At 39.3% G+C, this 18,259-nt stretch overlaps 1 long non-coding RNA gene across 6 annotated transcripts in view; it reads left to right on the plus strand.

Moving 5' to 3' along the window:
- The window catches only part of LINC02955 (long intergenic non-protein coding RNA 2955), a 491,729-nt gene extending 475,065 nt beyond the window's left edge, over positions 1–16,664 (plus strand). For 4 of the 6 annotated variants that reach the window (NR_187514.1, NR_187512.1, NR_187515.1 and 1 more), the window contains 2 exons: positions 10,551–10,671; positions 13,204–16,158. This is a non-coding gene — a long non-coding RNA (long intergenic non-protein coding RNA 2955). Of the gene's footprint in view, positions 1–724; positions 938–10,550; positions 10,672–13,203; positions 16,159–16,504 lie in introns of those variants that run through there. The other 2 variants (NR_120471.2, NR_187513.1) reach the window with 2 other exon arrangements.
- Positions 16,665–18,259: the final 1,595 nt, after the last annotated feature.

An 18,259-nucleotide genomic window follows, 5' to 3' on the forward strand; every position in this document is an offset into this window, starting at 1 on the left:
AAAAAGTGAGTTGAGAAAACTACTTAGATGCAGTCATGGGCTATTTCTTTCTTACAGAAAAAGAAGGATCTCTCGGAGGCTAAGCAAACCATCCAGAGTGTGGACCCAAAATCCAAAAAACAAAATTAATTAGAGAGCCACTCCAAGAGATAAGAAATAGGCCCTAATCAGGGAACATTCCCTGTCCCTGGACATGTACCTGTTTGGATTTCACAATTGCTTCAGACCATTGATTGCTATGTGCTCCCAGTCCTTTCTCTTTTTAAAAAAGAGGATTATTCATTGTGGTTATTTTTTCTTTGTCTCACCATTTCATCTTAGATATTTGAATAAAAGAGGGTAAAAGCCTTGTAGTTTTGGTTCACAGAACTCTGGATCATGAAAGCCAAGGAGCTCCACAGAGAAACCTCCTTTGTATCTGGACCAGAGGGGAAGCTCAAACTTGTGGATTTCCAGCCTGATGCAATACCTGGGATAAAACTTTTGCAATTATTGTGATAGGAGTAAGCGTACTTTCCATGTGCAAAAATGATTAATTTGTGGCCAGAAAATGGAGTGTGGTAAATTTGTGGTTTGATAGCCACAAATTCCACCCATCCCAATATGCATGCCCTTTGGCTTCTCCTTTCATCCAAAGACAGGATATATGTCTATATCCCTTTCAATCTTGACTGGCATTGTGACTTATTTGACCAGTAGAATGTGGTAGAAGGGACAGGGCATGAGTTTTTAATCCTGGGCCACAAGAGGCCCTGACACTTCCTCTGTTGCTCTCTTGAAACCTTCACGAAAGGAAGCCAACCTAGGCAGCATCCAACACTGACTGCCAGACATGTAAGTGAGACCATCTTGGATTTCCCCGCCCAGACGACCATCTGGCTGAATAAGTGAAATCAAGTGAAGGCAGAAGAGGAGCTGCCCAGCAACCCACAGAATGGTGAAAACAATATATTTTAAGCCACTACATTTGGGGGTGGTGTGTTATTATGTGGCAATAATCAACTGAAACCAGTTATTATACACCAGACACCATGGTGACTAAACTAGATACAGCCCACACCTGTGGGGATTTAATATGGGGCAAGGGTGTGGGGAGAATGGCATTAAACAGAGCAATAAAATACAATTGTGAATGTGATAAATGCTATGAAGGGAAAGGACAAGGTGCTGTGAGAGGCTCAGGAATGCCATAGAGTCAGGTTGGACCCTCTGTAGAAGCTGTTGGAGCTAGTCAGCAATACTAAGGCAGAGGTCCAGAGAAGATTCAGTGACTGTGGTCAGCGAGGAACCAAGAAGAATGTAAGGATGTATTCATGGTAGTTCTACTAGGATGCCAGGGCCTAGGCCCTGTTACATTGTCACTAAGAGAAAACAATTCTAAAGGTTTTAGCACAGGGGTCTAGCATATATTAACCACTTGGTATTATCTACAATAACTTATTTTTTTTATTTTGAATTGGCATGGAAATGTGCGATTACAAGTGAGTTTAAAAGTGGAAACACAACTCTCTGTTTAGAGAGGGTTAATAGAAAGAATAATTACTACAAAATGCTTCTAAACGCAAAACAAGACTGTCTCTATGGGAGAAAAATAAAACACAGGTACACAATCCCTTATCTAAAGCTCCAAAGGCCAGATGGGCTTCAGAACTCAAAAGGTTTAGGGTTTTAGAAAGGCAATTTGGAGCATTTCCCATACACTATGCAATACTTCCAGCATTTCCTGGGGCAGCACCCCACCATTAAATTTGAGCAGCAAAACGTATGGCTATTCGCAATAAGTGAGATAAAAATTGGGAGTGGACATACATCTGTTCAATCACCAAATTTGTTCAAAAAAATTTGTTTTAACGGACTTCAGAAGGTTCTACACTTCAGGATTGTGGATAGAGTTGTGCACCTCATCTAGAAACCCCCACGTTTTATGGGCCCACAGCGAGAAGGGGGATACTTCCCAAGTGGGTTGCTGAAAAACACAGTCCCTGTGATTGGTCATTGACATCTTAATGAGCTCAATGGATCGCAGCTTGTCCAATGCAGCTGCAGAAATCTGTCTCAGCTTTACAAGTTGACAGAAGTAAATCACACACTATATTTTCCATACTGTGGTCCATTTCACTGGCTCTGTGTTGGTACAGCTGGAGTATAGCAGATTCAAATCACTGTGAATGCATGTATAACCCTTGTTTCCCTAAACCATGCCAGCAGTCTCAGAGAGTACCATGAGTATGAGGATAATTACAATTTTCTGAGTCCTCACCCATTATTGCATTGTTATTCCTGGATTCCTACTTTCCTCCCCTTCCCCAAGGCCTCTCCTAACTTGAGGATGCCAATAGCTTACAATGTACCTTGAAAATGTGTTGTGTGGCTTGGCTGATGCCAAAGGCCCTGCTGATTCTGTATCTCCTGGATCTCATCATTTCTGCCAGTCCTTTAGCCACTCCTTAGCTGCCGTTTTCATTCCCAGCCTCATCTTCAGATGCAGCCTCTGCCATCAGTGCTGAGCAATGCTGAAGTAGGATAGAGTTCTATCATTCATCTCAATAAGTAGTATTGAGCCTAAGTAAATTAAATCAATCTCTCTCCATCTGTGTCTGTCTCCCTCTCTATATATACATAGATGCAAATGTATGTATATGTGTAGGTATAGAAAATAAAAATTGCCATACATATTCCAGGTTGCCTATATTTTGAGTTATAGTCCTTTCTGTAGAAAAACAAACACATTTCCCAGGAATTTAGCCAGAGGATATTTGCATGTCAACAACCAACATTATAGGGTCACTCCCTCATTCAACAAACATCTATTTAGTGCCTAAAAGCATCAGGAGCTAGTCTAGGCAATGAGGACCAGTGCACCAGACACACCAACTTCTTACTGTCATGGAGTTTACATTCTAGTCTCCGTCAAAACTGTTTCTTCTCATGGACAATTAATTGGATCACAGGCTGAACCATATGCCTGTGGGGCTCTTAGTCCTTAGGAAGCTTATGTTTTGAAATGTGCTGTAACCTGAAAAGGTAGGAAGAGACTTAGTTTCACCTTCTTTGCTCAAAGTAGTAATTTTGGGAACCAGTGCCTGATTGTTAGACCTAAATATTCTCTTCCATTCTGGCCAGAGGCCTCTTTACAAAAATCAGTCCTCCTCTGACATTCCAGGGTCTCTGTGTCTCTAAGCTAAGCCTTGCCACACGTGAGTTCTGTTCAATAGAATGCCATGAAGGGAACTCAAGAGTGACTCCTTTGAGAGGTAGTTGAGATTGACACTCTCTTTTTTATGGGCTACTCCAGTAGGCTCTGAGGTCAGCTTTCAGTCTCCAAGAACTCCTGCCACCACGTTCCTGTTTAATATTTTTCAGGGGGTTCCCTATTGCTTAGAATATGTACTCCGTAGCTTGGTATGCCAATGATTCACAACCCATTCCACCTCATGACAGGTATAGAAAATGATGATATTTTTATAATGTACCTTGGAAAATGAAAGAGACTGTCTTTGACCAGAGATGATGGACCTGAAGTTCAGCAGAGGTGACAACCCAGGCTTTCCTGGCTGACCCAAGGAGGGGTGAGGAGATTAACATCTCAGCATATCTATCTATAGCCCATCTACCCACCTTACAAGGAGTGAAAAGCTCTGTGATGTGCAGTAGTCTTTATAATGAAGCATCAAATTACATCTTGCTATCAACTTTTAAATTACTCTATACCAATTGGGTCCAAAAACATTTAAGTAGTTCATTTCTAATTCTATGTTATTTACCTTTATCCCTAGGCACCGTTTGCTAATTGTTCTCCTCATTCTATTTTCTTTCAAACTTTCATGTTTCTGCTGTTTCTCCACCTATAATGCCCTTCTTTTACCTTTCTTTGGTGAACTCCTACTCATCATAAATCTCATTTCAAATGCCACTACTCAGGCCATTCCAAGCTCTTTCAGGCAAATTTAGGTTGTTCCTTCCTCTGGCTGTCCAAACGTGCACACACACATACACACACACACATCACAGTACTTACTGCATGGTTGCTTGCACTAGTTGTGGAAAGCTGTAGTGTAGAGACTTTGTTTTCTATATCATTGTACCCTTCACTTGGTTCACTGTAGTTCCTGCCTGCCTAGCTCAGAGCTCAATATATGTTTTTCTTAATGGGTGAATGAAAGAATCAATAAGTGGGGAACTGGAGAAATTGCCCACGTGTTAGATTTGCATGAGACTTTGGATAAGGCTTGGAATCTTATTGTTTCATGTTCTCCATATGCTGAAATAACAATATTTGTCTTCTCTGAAATATAATGCCTTAAAACTCAAAATATCAAGCTGTCAGAACTTAGTTGTTATTATGTCCATGGTCACCCTGCCATTAAACTTTAGTTGTCCTGGAAACATATATTGGATCTATAAATTTAGATTAAAGAATCTTACCAACAGAGTTTTTGTGCATACTGTGTTGTCAGTTTCCTCTAATAGCTACTTGTTTATCACAGTAATGTAACCGTAACAGAACTAAGAACAAAATCATGGAACCTACTCATTCAGCAAGACCAGGAATGGGTTTTCTGAGTTTGTGCTGGGTGAGAAAATCTTGTCAATAACCCAATGTCATTTAAGTTCTAACTTTGGGATGCTCTTTGGTCTAAAAGTTTGAGGAAAAAATGGGTTCAACCACATAAATGATAGGCCATACACCAATTTTATGTAGCATGGTCATTAAGATAGCCAAAAATACGGCAAACTATTAGAAGTGCTATGCGTTGCATTTATACTAGCTCTTATTTTCCTTTTGGTGGCTAATAGGATTCTCATTTCATTATTATTTCTCACATTTTCCCCTTCTAGTGTTTCAAGAAATTACCACTGTAGAATTTATTGTAGCCTACAGTATAGTCATGGGTGTGTGACAATATGTAAATGCCCAAGCATGCTACATGTGAATTACGCTGCCATGTTCACATTTCTAATCAGGACGATGTTTTTTAGAAAATCATTTAATTATACTTGAAAACTATCAGTCATGAGGGTCAAAGTATTTGATCTCTCTTCTCTGGTGTTCCAGGAGTGACACAAAGTCACACAAAAGGTTGAATTTTTCTCTGATTGTTACACCATGGCATTCAAGCAATTTTAGAGGTCAAACTGATAACAGAACATGAAAAATCTGCATTATTTTTAATCTATAGGGAGACATTTTAATTAAAGTTATGGGTGGTATTTTTTTGCCTGATGAATGTGTTTCTTAAAAGCCTGTGTACATTTATGCATACTGTATATAGAATATCTATATCTATTTATCTGTAATATCTATTTATCTATGTATGTATGTATATATCTATATCTATCAACCTATCTACCTAATCTATTCATCTATCCATACTTCCTTCCATCTGTCTGTAGACACACACACACAAACACATATAAACTCATATACCTATACATATATATGTAATATTAGAAATATATCTAGAGGTAACTTTACGGTCATTTGGGCTATTTATGTCTGGTTGTTGTCCACAGGCTTTTATAACAGAGGAGATGATTATAATCACCTTTGCCACAGAGACATTTAAGAGATTGATAGTAAGCATACAAAGACTTAACTTCCTTGGGAGGTGATATCTTTTAAAAGCACCATCTTTTCAAACATAGAAATGCCGACATTTTGTGTAAATATGTTGCAACATTTCCTAGCAGTATATTATTCCTTCTGCCCAGAGCCAACCCACTCCGTTCAACAGCCTATACACCTACAGACTAATTAAGTGAATTAATTTGTTTTGGAATTAAATAAAAATTCTTATTTTGGACATATGGATCATGTAGATGCCAAATGGAAATTATACTGGTTAATGCTCGAACTTCTGCTTTTAAAATACTCTACTCTCTGGGAGGAGCAGTTCAAATTCCAGTAGACCTTTTGAGAAACATAAATTGAACACCATGTTTATTCTGCAAAGGTCTTTCAGATGAAGCCTTAAAAACTGTGAAGACTCCCTGCGATTTTCTCTGAGGACATGTCTTCATTAGCATTTCAATAATTCAACCTTCTGGTTGTGCCTTTGAAATTTCTTTAATCTTTGGCATTGAAACACCTAGGATGTATATTACGGGACTGTGAATCTCTGAGCAGGAATATTATTACGATTATACTAAGCAGATCTGAAGCAAGCCAGGACACTTTCTAGCAAGGATGACTACAAATTTGCTGCAAAAATGATCAATTAAAGGCCACTTGTAAGCGAAAAGTAACTTTATATTTTTCCTTAAAAGAAATATGAGATAATTTTATATTTTAGTAAAAATAAACTTTAAAATTATGCAAATAATACATGTTCATTATAGAATAATATAAAATTTATTGATAATAAGCAGAGAAGACAAATTCATTCATTAATTTCATAACCCAGTTATAGTAACCATTAAAATTTTTTATATATTCTTTCAGAATTTTCATATGTATAGGTATACATATAAAAATACATAAATAAATTTTCTTTTAAATTAAGAAGTAAGAATATGCAAATAGTAAATTTTTATGCAATGTAAATGTCCCTTGGACATTAGCAGCTGGTGCAACTTAGGAAGGTCACCTTAACAGCTTATATCACTAGGTGTCCCTGATCATCTTTCAAATAGAGGAAGGAAACCCTTAAGTCTCTTCAAGAGTCTGTGCTGAGGTCCAAAATGTGAGTAAGAGAAAGAGAGGAGAATGCTCTCATATATAAATCAAACCAATCTCTGCAACTCTGGAATATTTTCGTCTAGCTGTTTTCATCATCCACTGCTGTCTCTTGTTCCACAATGATGTCACCAGCAAACATCCTGGACCACACTGTTGGTGGTAGTGACCTCCTTTCTCTCTCTGTAATATCTTGTAGCTTTGTTATTACCAAACTCATAGTGTTCTCCTGATAGGTTTTCCATTTTCTATCCAGCTTTCAGGGGGTGGTTTGGGAGCAGAGGGGCTCAAATGGCCGGTGCCATAGTGTTCTTTTAACTGATTTGGTAAAGAGTCCCCAAATATGGTCACCAATTATTACTGCCATTCTTGTTCATGCAAGCTGCTCATAACAGAGATGAACTGTATTTTCCTCCTCTTGAATATGCTCTGGACTTGTGATGTGTTTTGACCAATAGAACGTGATAAAATTGATGTTCTGGGACTTCCGAACACAGGCTTAAGAAACTTAGCAGCTCTCTTTTGCTTCTTCTTGGGACTCAGTGAACATACTGGAAGGAAGTTCAGCAAAAACTAGTAAATGCTTAGAGTTCACGTGGGCAGAGTTTTCTGAGATCTAAAGGCCATCACGGATGTCTCAACCCTAGCCAAGCTCTCAGATACATGCATCTACACAATGACTCCAGCCGCCATCTGTGAAGCCAAAGAACTATCCAGCTGTGTCTTGCCCAAATTCCTGATCCAAGGAATCATGAAAAGTAATAAATTATGGTCCTTGCGCTGTGGCTCACACCTGTAATCCCAGCACTTTGGGAGGCCGAGGCAGGCGGCTCACGAAGTCAGGAGATAGAGACCATCTTGGCTAACACGGTGAAACACCGTCTCTACTAAAAATACAAAAATCAGCCGGGCGTGGTGACACGTGCCTGTAGTCCCAGCTACTCAAGAGGCTGAGGCACGGGAATCACTTGAACCCGGGAGGCGGTGGTTGCAATGAGCTGAGATCACGGTATTGCACTCCAGCCTGGGTGATAGAGCAAGACTCAGTCTCAGAAAAATAAATAAATAAATAACAATAACAACAATAATAATAAATTATGGTTGTTCACATAGGTAACTGAAACAAACATACGATTTTTGAGTCAAGTTACGTTTGGCTGCACATTTTAGAAACTATGCTTCATGCATAAAACAAACCACATCACACATTATCTTCTGTAACATGGAAGTATATTTTTTGTTCATATAAAAGAAATCTCAAAATAGGTAGCAAAGGTGTACTATAGAGGTTTTATTATCTGGCTCAAAGCTTCTTCCTTCTATTCCACTTTCTTGACATGGAATTTTTATTCCAAAGTCACCTCATGACCTAACATAACTGCTAGAACTCCAGCTATCATAGCTACATTCCAGGCAGCAAGAAAGAAGCTGAGGAAAGGGCAAAAGAGACAGGCTCCCTGGCTAAGTCAATTTCCTGAAGGATTATTCAGGAAAGTTTGTGTAACATTTCCATTTGGCCAGAATTTAGTCACATTGTCACATCCAGCTGCAAAAGAAGCTGGGAAATTTAGTCTTGTACAAGACCACTCCAAGCAAAATTGGGGTTTTATACAAAGGCAGACAGAGAGGGTAGGAAACTAGCAATTTCTGAAACGGACTCTGTATTCCCAGGGCAATGAGGCATTGCAGACACTGATTTAAAGCAATTTCTCATAGAGATTAATACTTTACATAAACAACAATTGTCTCTAGTATTCAGGTTCTGCATTTCAGTGTCCAGTTCATCTCTCTCTCCTTTTGTTTCCATTGATCTCTTTGCAACACGGCTTCTATGGAGACTCTCTGTTCATCAAATGTATCAGTAGATCTCTGTGTTCATGAATGAATGGGTTCTTTTCCTGTGAGGTTCTGAAATAAACTTGCAATCACAGGATTACCCTCTCCTTCATTGGCCCTATATCATACAGATGACCTCCAAGAAGTGTTGCCTAGCTTCTAAATAGCAAACACAAGTTGGATCTGACCCCAGTTCCCTAAAAATGTTTGTGTTTTATACAATCCTTAATTTATGGGGAAATATCAGTAACAAAGAAACTAGATAGAAAAAATGTAATATTTAGGTAATAAGGGAAAATAGAAATAATGAAGGGTGAGAGAGAGAGCCAGTCACTGAGTTATTTGCACTTAGCAGCATCTCTTTCCCTCCTCAGGTTCTTTGCACCTTCTATTCCCTCTGTCAGTAAAGTCTTTCCCCCTCAACCTCTTACCCAACTAGTTTTCATTAATTTTGGGGGTTCCAGTGTAAACCTACTTCTTCAGAGAGGTTTTCTCTGACCAATTGATCTCAAGTAGGTATACCTTGGATATCTCTCTTACCCATCCCCTTTGTTATCTTTCAAGGCACTTGTCATAATTTCTAATTCTGTATCCAGCTGTTTATCTGTTCAATATCTGCCACCCCCTCTGGATTACGAGCTCAATAAGGCAGGGATTTTGCTGCCTTTTTCACTGCTGTGTTCCAAACACATGGTGCAATACCTGGTATACCATAGATGCTCAATGTTATTTAACAATTCATTTGTTAAATGAGTAAACAAGGAGGGGAAGTTCAGAGAAAGCAAAGTGAAGAGAGAGAGAGAGAGAGACATGTTAGTCTGAGATCTCAGCTGCCCAGCCTGTTTATTTTGTAGCCAGGTTATTCAAGTCTGTATGTAGGCCATGCAGAGCTGGGGTACAGTCGAAATCTCAAGGTGGGACTGTCCTGAGGCCAAAAGTTTTCTCACCCCAGGCTAGGCTCAGTGGTTCATGCCTAGAAGCCCAGCCCTTTGGGAGGTTGAGGCCGGAGGATCACTTGAGGCCAGGAGTTGGAAAGCAGCCAGGTCAACATAGTGAGACCTCTTATCTCTACAAAAAAAAAAAAAAAAAAAAAAGCTTCCTCACCCCTGATTTTAGACAGATAGACAGAAACATCTCCATGCTATACAATAAGGAATAAAATCATGGATTTTTTTTTTTTTTTTTTTTTTTTTTTGAGACGGAGTCTCGCTCTGTCACCCAGGCTGGAGTGCAGTAGCATGATCTCGGCTCACTGCAAGCTCCACCTCCCGGGTTCATGGCATTCTCCTGCCTCAGCCTCTCGAGTAGCTGGGATTACAGGCATCCACCACCACGCATGGCTAATTTTTTGTATTTTTTAGTAGAGACGGGGTTTCACCGTGTTAGCCAGGCTGGTCTCGATCTCCTGACCTTGAGATCGTCCCATCTCAGCCTCCCAAAGTGCTGGGATTACAGGCGTGAGTGACCACCCCCGGCCAAAATCATGGAATTTTTAATGTGGAATCATTTCCATGTTCTATTGAATTTTCTGAAACAATAGAAAATTATTACTCAAATAATAAGAATAGTAATAATAATTAATATTACAGCAAATAATAAGGAAATATTATTATCCAAACTTGCTAGGAAAATGTTTTGAATTAGTGATTTGTCCACTATTGTGCATTATGACATTGCGGAAAATGGCTTATCTTATGTCTTGAGATATAAGTAGTGGATTATTTTGAGAAATGCCTGCCTACACAGTCAGCAATAGGTAGAATAGACACCTGCCCAGGCTGTACCAGTGTATAAAGCTATCAAAACTTCCCAGAGGGCTGGGCATCTGCCGCAGAGGGTACAGAAAAAGGGTTGAAACTAGAAAAAATTAGAGCAACTCAGGGAAACAGGAAATGAGAATAGTCCAAGGATCCAGAAAAAAGGTCATCAATGAAGTCAGACTTACACTGCCTCACTAGTCCTCCTTCATGCCAATTCCTGTAACCCACAGGTGTGCCTCTGACCATATCATGGTTTCCTTCCCCTTCTTTCTCCCCAGGCCTCCAAAGAAGTCTACAAATTCCATCAGTCAGTAACGGCTTGGAGTTCCAAAGCTTATGACTCAAAGGTGATCAGAGCATGGACCTGGGGCTAGTCTGGATTGGTAACTGCTAAACTTGGTATGTTCTTCAGACGCTGACATGAGTTAATTCACAGTTTTCTGTCCACACGTCCATTTTCTTGTCACCACATGATGGAGAACATTCTACACATCACTGCCAGATTAACCTTCCCCAAACATTTCTTTGATCACTTCACTCACTTTGTTCAAAACGCCTTAAATGATCCCTGTTATCTGTAAGGGTTCAAATGCTTTTAGTCTGGCTTTCAAGACCCACCACAATCTGACCCTACTGTGAATTTCTCCTGCTGCTGAATCCTGTACTGTAAATAAGAAAGATTAAGGAGACAGTTTCCTCAAAAGTGATCAATTTTCTAATTGGGCCTTCAATGGTTCGGTATAAAAATTATAATTCATTTCAATAACTGATCTTGCTGGACGTGCTACACATATTAAATGTTCCATGCATTTAGAGCATCAATAATGTTCAGCTGCAGGAATTATGCAGAAATACCTTCTATCTTGGCAAGTACATGAAGTAGTAAATCCCGTGGGCAGTTGAGACTCCTTGGTAAATTTAAACATAGTACTACATCCAGAATAATATAGTGATCTCTCACCATGCTGGGTACGATCATCAGCAGCAATGATTTAGAAAATGAGAATGATTTATATTTTTATTTTTGAACAGTAAATCTTTTCTTAAATTTATGGAGGGATTTAGATTTATATAGTAGGCTGTAGTTTCCATCATGCAGTAGTAGTCTTAATGGCCACTTTTGAATTCCATTCATCTTTACACTCGCCACAAAAACATTTGGAGACTAAAATAAAGATTAAGATGGTGACTTGGTTAAAAATGCTTAAAGTTTTGAGTTTTAGCATGAAATATCAGACCCAGATGGCTGGCATTTTTAAAGTAGTGAAATTCACCTTTCACGACACATGGACAATATTTCATGTTGAAAATGAGCTACATTAGGACATGAATGCTCTACTATCCTGCTCTTTCAAATATAAACCTATAGATAGATTTTATAAATTTGAAAATATAATGACTACTCTAGCAAATTAGATCCACCCAAATTTATTATTACCGCATTTTGTCTATCTAGACTTTCTTCAGCAGAGTGGTTGACATTATGAGCTCTGTTGTAAAGGTGCTTGGAATCAAATTCCAGCTCTCAGTCTTTACCACATGTTAGAATGTAGACAAATTACTTAACCACTCTGTGTCTCGGTTTACTCATCTTTAGAATGGGGATAAAAGTAGAGATGTTGTGAGTATTAAGTGAGTTAGTACATATAAGTTGTTAGTACATATAAATATGTTAGTACATATAAAAGTTTGTACAGAGCATGTAGAGGATCAACAAGAGCCATCTATTTCTATTGAGTAAAATTATTCCCTTTAGGAAGATGTAAAGGGGATGGGGAGGGGGGATGCCTTCAAATGCCTTCAGAGGCCACACAGGTAGTGAAATATGAGAAGGGATTTGGTGGTAGATTAGTGGAGTCTGCAGATAACTGTCAAGTGTGTGCCCTACTTACTTAAAAACAAAACAAAACAAAACACTGTGTGCCAGCCAAATACACAGTGCTTCTTGTTTATTGACCAGCCTTGTACAGGCCTTTAGGCTACTCACCCATGTTGACCCCTAGGGAACAGAAAGAGCTCCAAACCACAAGTCAGGAGGTGCAGGCTGTGACCCTCTCCTCCAGCTTCTAGCTATGGAAGCCTGGACAGGCTCCTTACCTATCTTGGCTTCTGTTTCCCCACTCAAAAGGAGAAAATAGAGGTTCCTTCTGTATCAGAAACTCTATTTAAATAGAGAGGCAAGAGGAATAATAATTGTTAAAACCTTTTCACAGTTTAAAAAAGGCATATAAATAGGAAAAGGCCTGTTACTGTGCTTAAGAAGTCTGTACAGTATGTGGTGGTCCCTAAAGGAGCGTTCCAACAGAAGCTGAAAAGGCTGCCTAAAGGACGATGTGTCCCAAAGTCTGAAGGCAGAAAGGAGCATAGATGGAATAAAAGGAGCAAGAGCAGCCCAGATCAGAGGAGCCAGGCAGAACCTTCAAGACCAGCTATGCACAAGAGACAGTAAGGCCACTTGTTTAGTTGAAGTGGAAAACTAGGTAATAGCAAATGAAACTGTCCAGGGTGGGCAGGTGAAAGTTTCAGAACCTGGTGATGCTAAGTGGCCTGAGTATGCCCAAGTTAACCTTTGGGCTATGGTCAAGTGGACAACAAAGCCAACACATGCAAGCAGATATTCCAGTCTCCAGACATTATCTTCTATTCTTGTTCTTCTCAGGAAACCAAAATTTTTATTTGCTTTTACATCATTCAGAATTTCTTAGTTCCTGACCCTATCTCTCATTTCTGTTTGTGGCAAACTGCATTTTCCGAAGACGGACATGCTAGCATACAACTCTCGTCCTACAGGCTCTATTTACAGTGTGACTGCTGCCCCTCCCACCAAGAGGTGGGGGCCATGTTCCCTCCAAATCTGAGTGGGGGCTTCTGTCTGCTCCAACCCGTAAGGTAGGGCAACAGTAACTTCTTCCGTTTGTGTCTCTCCCTTAGGATACATGGCTTCTGATGGCCCTGCTGGGGAGACCATGTGGAGAGATGGCATAGAGCCAGAGATTCACGTTCCAGGAGCCCTGACTGTCTCATCTCAGGGAATTGAATCTCCTTGTGCTCCAGACCCTATGAGAGGATGCCATCCCCTGCTACCATCTGACTGCAACCTCAGGAGACACCCCAAGCCAGAACTGAGCAGCCAAGCCACTCTCATATTCTTGACCCATAGACATTGGGAGATAAAAACTGATTGTTGTCAATTTTAGTCAGTACATTTTAGGGCAATTTGATGTCCTAGCAATAGACTAGTATATTTATCCATTGCTGCATCTTCTTCTGCTTAGATTATGATGCATGTTTTTTAGCTCCAACTAGTATCTAAACTTGTCATGGTCTTTGCTTGAAAGTTTGATTTTTTGCTGCCCTTGAACTTTACCCCTGATTCCAATTTACCCATTTGTTTTGGTTTAGTTTAAGGAGATTGTAAACAAGTATGCCTACAAGGGCCATGCAACAAATGCTAAAAAGAGAAGTAGACCTGGGCAGGGAGGCAAGGGAGCGGAAAGATGTGTAGTACGTTCAGCTCAGGTCACGTTCATCATCCAGCTCTGGAAGATGGATCCAGTGGGCATGTGTGCCTAATGATGCCACATTATCTGATTTTTTTCTCCAAAAGAAAAATCAAGATTTTTATTAAAAATCTTCTGGTTTAAAAAAATTTAAATGCTATTCAAATTTCAATAACAACCATGCCAGATAAAAAATAGCTACTGACTGAACTTAGCCATGATCTGCCAACTTGCAACCTCCAAATTAGAAGTTTTTAGCCACTATGGATGTTAGGAAGACCTGAAACACAGAATAGAGAGATTCCAATTTTTCTAGTGACAATGAGTCCTGAGAAAGGTGACAAAATCAGAATAACCTTTGGAGAAAGATAAATGCTACTATCAGTGGAATGGGATTCAGTCTTCAGCCTGTTGTAGTAATTCAGTAAGCACATGTGGTCATTGAGTGAACTCGCATGGCCAATACAAGGTAAGCTTGGCGGTTCCTTCTATGTCAAACGTTCTATTTAAATAGAGAGAAAAGAGGAGTAATAATTGTTAAAACCCTTTTGCAGTTTTAAAAAGGCATATAAATAGTAAAGGACCAGTTACCTTGCTTGAGAAATTTGTACAGTACCTAGTTGTTCCTGAAAGAGTGTACTGACAGGAGCTGAAAAGCCTACCTGGAAGAGAATATGGTCCCAAATTCCAAAGGCAGAAAGGAACACAGGTTAAATAGAAGGAGCAGTAACAACCCAGACCAGAGAAGCCAGGCAAAGCCTTGGAGACTAGGTATACATAGGAGATAGCAGTTCTCAATTCCCATTCCCTTTGTGCCAAGCACAGGCACCGTGATCCTTCACTGAAGCTCAGTGAACACTGTTCTCAGAGAGAGGTCCTGTCAGCATCCACCTACCGAACCATCAAATGTGTATCTGTCTCAGTTCTGCTTGGGAGCCTGATACAGATCTTTCCATCACTCATGAAGGCCCTAGAATGCATCCTCTTTTTTTTTTTTTCCTTCTGGAAAATATCAACCAGTTTTGGTAGATTTTACCTTTCCATTCTCTGTGTCCCTCCATTATTTTGGTCAACTCACCTCTGAAAACAGCAAAGCCTCTCAGGTCTACCGTGGGACACGCAGAATTACAAGCTGAGCTACCCTCTGGGATGGAAGCAGGGGTCTGGGAGGGTGGCACTAACGCTTAATATTATTGAGTTAAAATCTCAATAAATTATCCCAGTAAATCATACAATCAGAAAGACAAAGTCCTTGCCAATAAATATGCACAACTCTCTGCCTAGAGACAAACCCACCTTGAGTTCACTCACGCAACCCAATACCCATAAACTACTCTCCATAAAGCAATGGAAAAGAGGAGCTGAGGTTAACAAAGTTCTTTCAGCCTACCCACGTAGGCTGACATTTATCTGCATGCATAGAACTCACAACATTTATTGTAGCAGAGTACATATTTCAGAAAACTGATTTTGCTTTTTCCTATAGCTGATAACCTGGAAAATACAGTCATCTGTACTCTGTCTCCCAGGCGATAGTGCAAATCAGTAAAGAGTTTCCATTGATGGTTCTTTTGCAGACTCTAACCACAATTGAACTCTCTGCTTTCCATCAGTCGCCCACCCTGTTGTGTACAAAGAAGCAGATATGCAATATAGCAGGAGCCCCAAGAAAAGGTCTGGCTGTTCTGTCAAAACTATTTAGTTCAATATTGTTCTCAATGTGGCACCATAGCCCTGGACATGACACCCAGCACGTCCAAACAGACATGATTATATATGAGACAGAAAGGCACTTACATCACTGCGGGTTGTTATGCTTTAAAGGGCTTTTTCCCCCCTCTTCAAATTAAAAGTTTTCAAAAATGAAATAAAAATAAACCTTTGAAGAAACCAGATTGAGACTGAATTTGGAAGGCCCTCCTGCCTAGTGTATACTAAAGAAACATTTTCTGGGTTTGTCCCTGATGATTTTCCTTGTAGTTGAGAAACACAATCCACTGGAAGCTTTTGTGGCAGAACAAGAATTTTATGAACACGAACTTTACAAAGACTTCCCTAGGAGATTTAAGGTCTGGAAATCAATAGATCAATCAGCAGCTTTTATCAATCTATAATGGTTCTCTCTCTTTGGATGTTTGGATGAAAATGGGATCAACGTAAATTGAACATGGAATCACTTATTCTTACAAGTTAAATTTGTCAAACTGTAAGGCACATAAATGACATGAAATGTAATCATTTTTGAATTTGGGACCCTACAGGGTGCACGTTGATTGAAGAAAAAACAAGCAGATGTTGCTTCAGCATAACTCATAGAGGCAATCTAAATGTTCTTCAATCCCTGACACTTCTGATCGTTTCCCAAATAAACCAGTTCATTAGTTAATTATTGGGTATGCTTATCGTGTAATATATAATTGGCCCAGGGCAAATAGCCTTCAAAGATGGCTGGCTGAGTTTGTAGAATCTGTTTTTGCCAAATTCTTCCCAAGGAAATAAGGAAAGATTAATGAGCACTACCTCATGTTGCTTCCACTTTATCTTTAATGATAAAGGCCTCAGTGCCTGGAACCTCTTCTTCGTTATAAAGTTAGCTTGGCAGGTAGCTTATGGGCAAAAGAGTTAGGAGAAAATATGAAAATTATGTTGGGAAATAAGAGCTATTTACCCAGTTTCTCCTAAAGAAAAGCAGATAGAAAAATCAAGTTGTATTTATATTTCTATTTTTTCAGATGCATGAAGATATATGGGATGGAACGTACCTCGTTTCCAATGGTAAAGCTTTTAAAAATGTTGTTGAAAGCATCAGTGCTGAAAGATTACCTCATACTTTACCAGCTTATCATAATCCCTGTACAGTATAAAAATAACAACAATGAATACATATTGAGCATTTCCTATGCACTTAACACACATTATCTCATTTAATTTTTACAGCAAATCTCAATCATAGTTATTATTTTATCTTTTCTTAGCCTTATATGTTATAGGTGAGAAAATGGAGGCACCAAAAAATTAAATTCCTTATAAGGTTTCCAGATAAATTGCAAAATGCCCAGTTAAATTTGAATTCCAGATAAACAATGGATAATTTTTTTAGGAAAGTCTGTCCCAGGAAATATACTAAATATAGTCATCTCTTCATATCTGTGGGGATTGGTTCCAGGAGCCCTGCAGATATCAAAATCCAGGGATGCTTAAGTCCCTGATATAAAAGGGCATAGTATTTGCATATAACCTATGCACATCCTCCTGTATACTTTATGTAATCTCTAGGTTACTGTAATACCAAATCCAATGAAAATGCAATGTAAATAGTTGCTACACTGTCTTTTTGTTTGTCTTTTTTATTGTTGTATTCATATTTTATAATTTTTAATTTTTTTCCTAATGTTTTTAATCCATGGTTGGTTGAATCTAAGGATGTGGACTGACAGTATATTGATATACTAAAAAAAAAGTACCCATTATTTATTTGAAAAATCAAATTTAACTGAGTGTCTGACACTTATTTGCTAAATTTGACTAGTTGTTAGCAAAGCCAAACAGATCTTTCTGATACCCAAGCTAAACATTTTTAACCGTTACACTAAACTGCCTTTTTCCATAAAAATAGTTTGAAAACTCCAAATTTAGCAAAGGATTTTATTTATGTAGACAGAGAAAACAGCACTGAAAGTGGGACATATTAAGCTCATTTATAGCCGTGGTCTGATGGGCATTTCTTTTGTCTGGGCAGTGGTAGAAAAAGGTGTGGGAAAGTAGGAATCAGCCAAATGGTTGAAGATAGGAGCACTGGTGATATTTGTCTCCTGCCTGAGAAGGAATGAGTGCCTGTCATGAAATCAGCAAGGTGACATGCTGGTTATGGTGGCAGCGCTTCCAGCAGTGTGTCAAGCTCAGGCATCGCTTTGATTAAAATGCCAAGTGCTGGGACCTCCTTCCCCTACCACTCCCACTTCTCCCTGCCTCTTCCTCCTTCCCCTACCACTCATACCTCTCCCCGCCTCTACCTCCTTCGCCTACCACTAACACCTCTCCCTGCCTCTTCTTCCTTCCCCCACCACTCATAACTTTCCCTGCTTCTACCTTGTAGTTAGTGCATGTCCTTGAGCTTGACTCCCAAAACAGTATACAGAGAACTATGGTGAAGAAGTTAACAGTAAAAGCACCTGAGTCTGGCTGCTTGGTTTGATCTCCTAGTGCTACCATTTCTTTGTGCCCCAATTTCCTTCTTTGAAAAATAGAGATAACAGTACCTATGTCTATAGGTTTTTTGAGGTTTAAATTAGCTAATACACGTGATAACAATAATAATAATCATGTTCAATGAAAAATTGTCTTCCTGCCAATCACTCATCTAAGTGAAATATTTAAATTATTCAGTCCTTACCACCACATTAGGAAGTTGGTGTTATTATCATCTCACTTTGTGGAGGAGGAAACTGAGGTATGGATGGGTCAAGTAACTTGCCCAAAGTCATATA

The sequence above is a fragment of the Homo sapiens genome, chromosome 12, assembly GCF_000001405.40.
Source record: "Homo sapiens chromosome 12, GRCh38.p14 Primary Assembly".
In the NCBI taxonomy this organism is placed as follows: domain Eukaryota; kingdom Metazoa; phylum Chordata; class Mammalia; order Primates; family Hominidae; genus Homo; species Homo sapiens.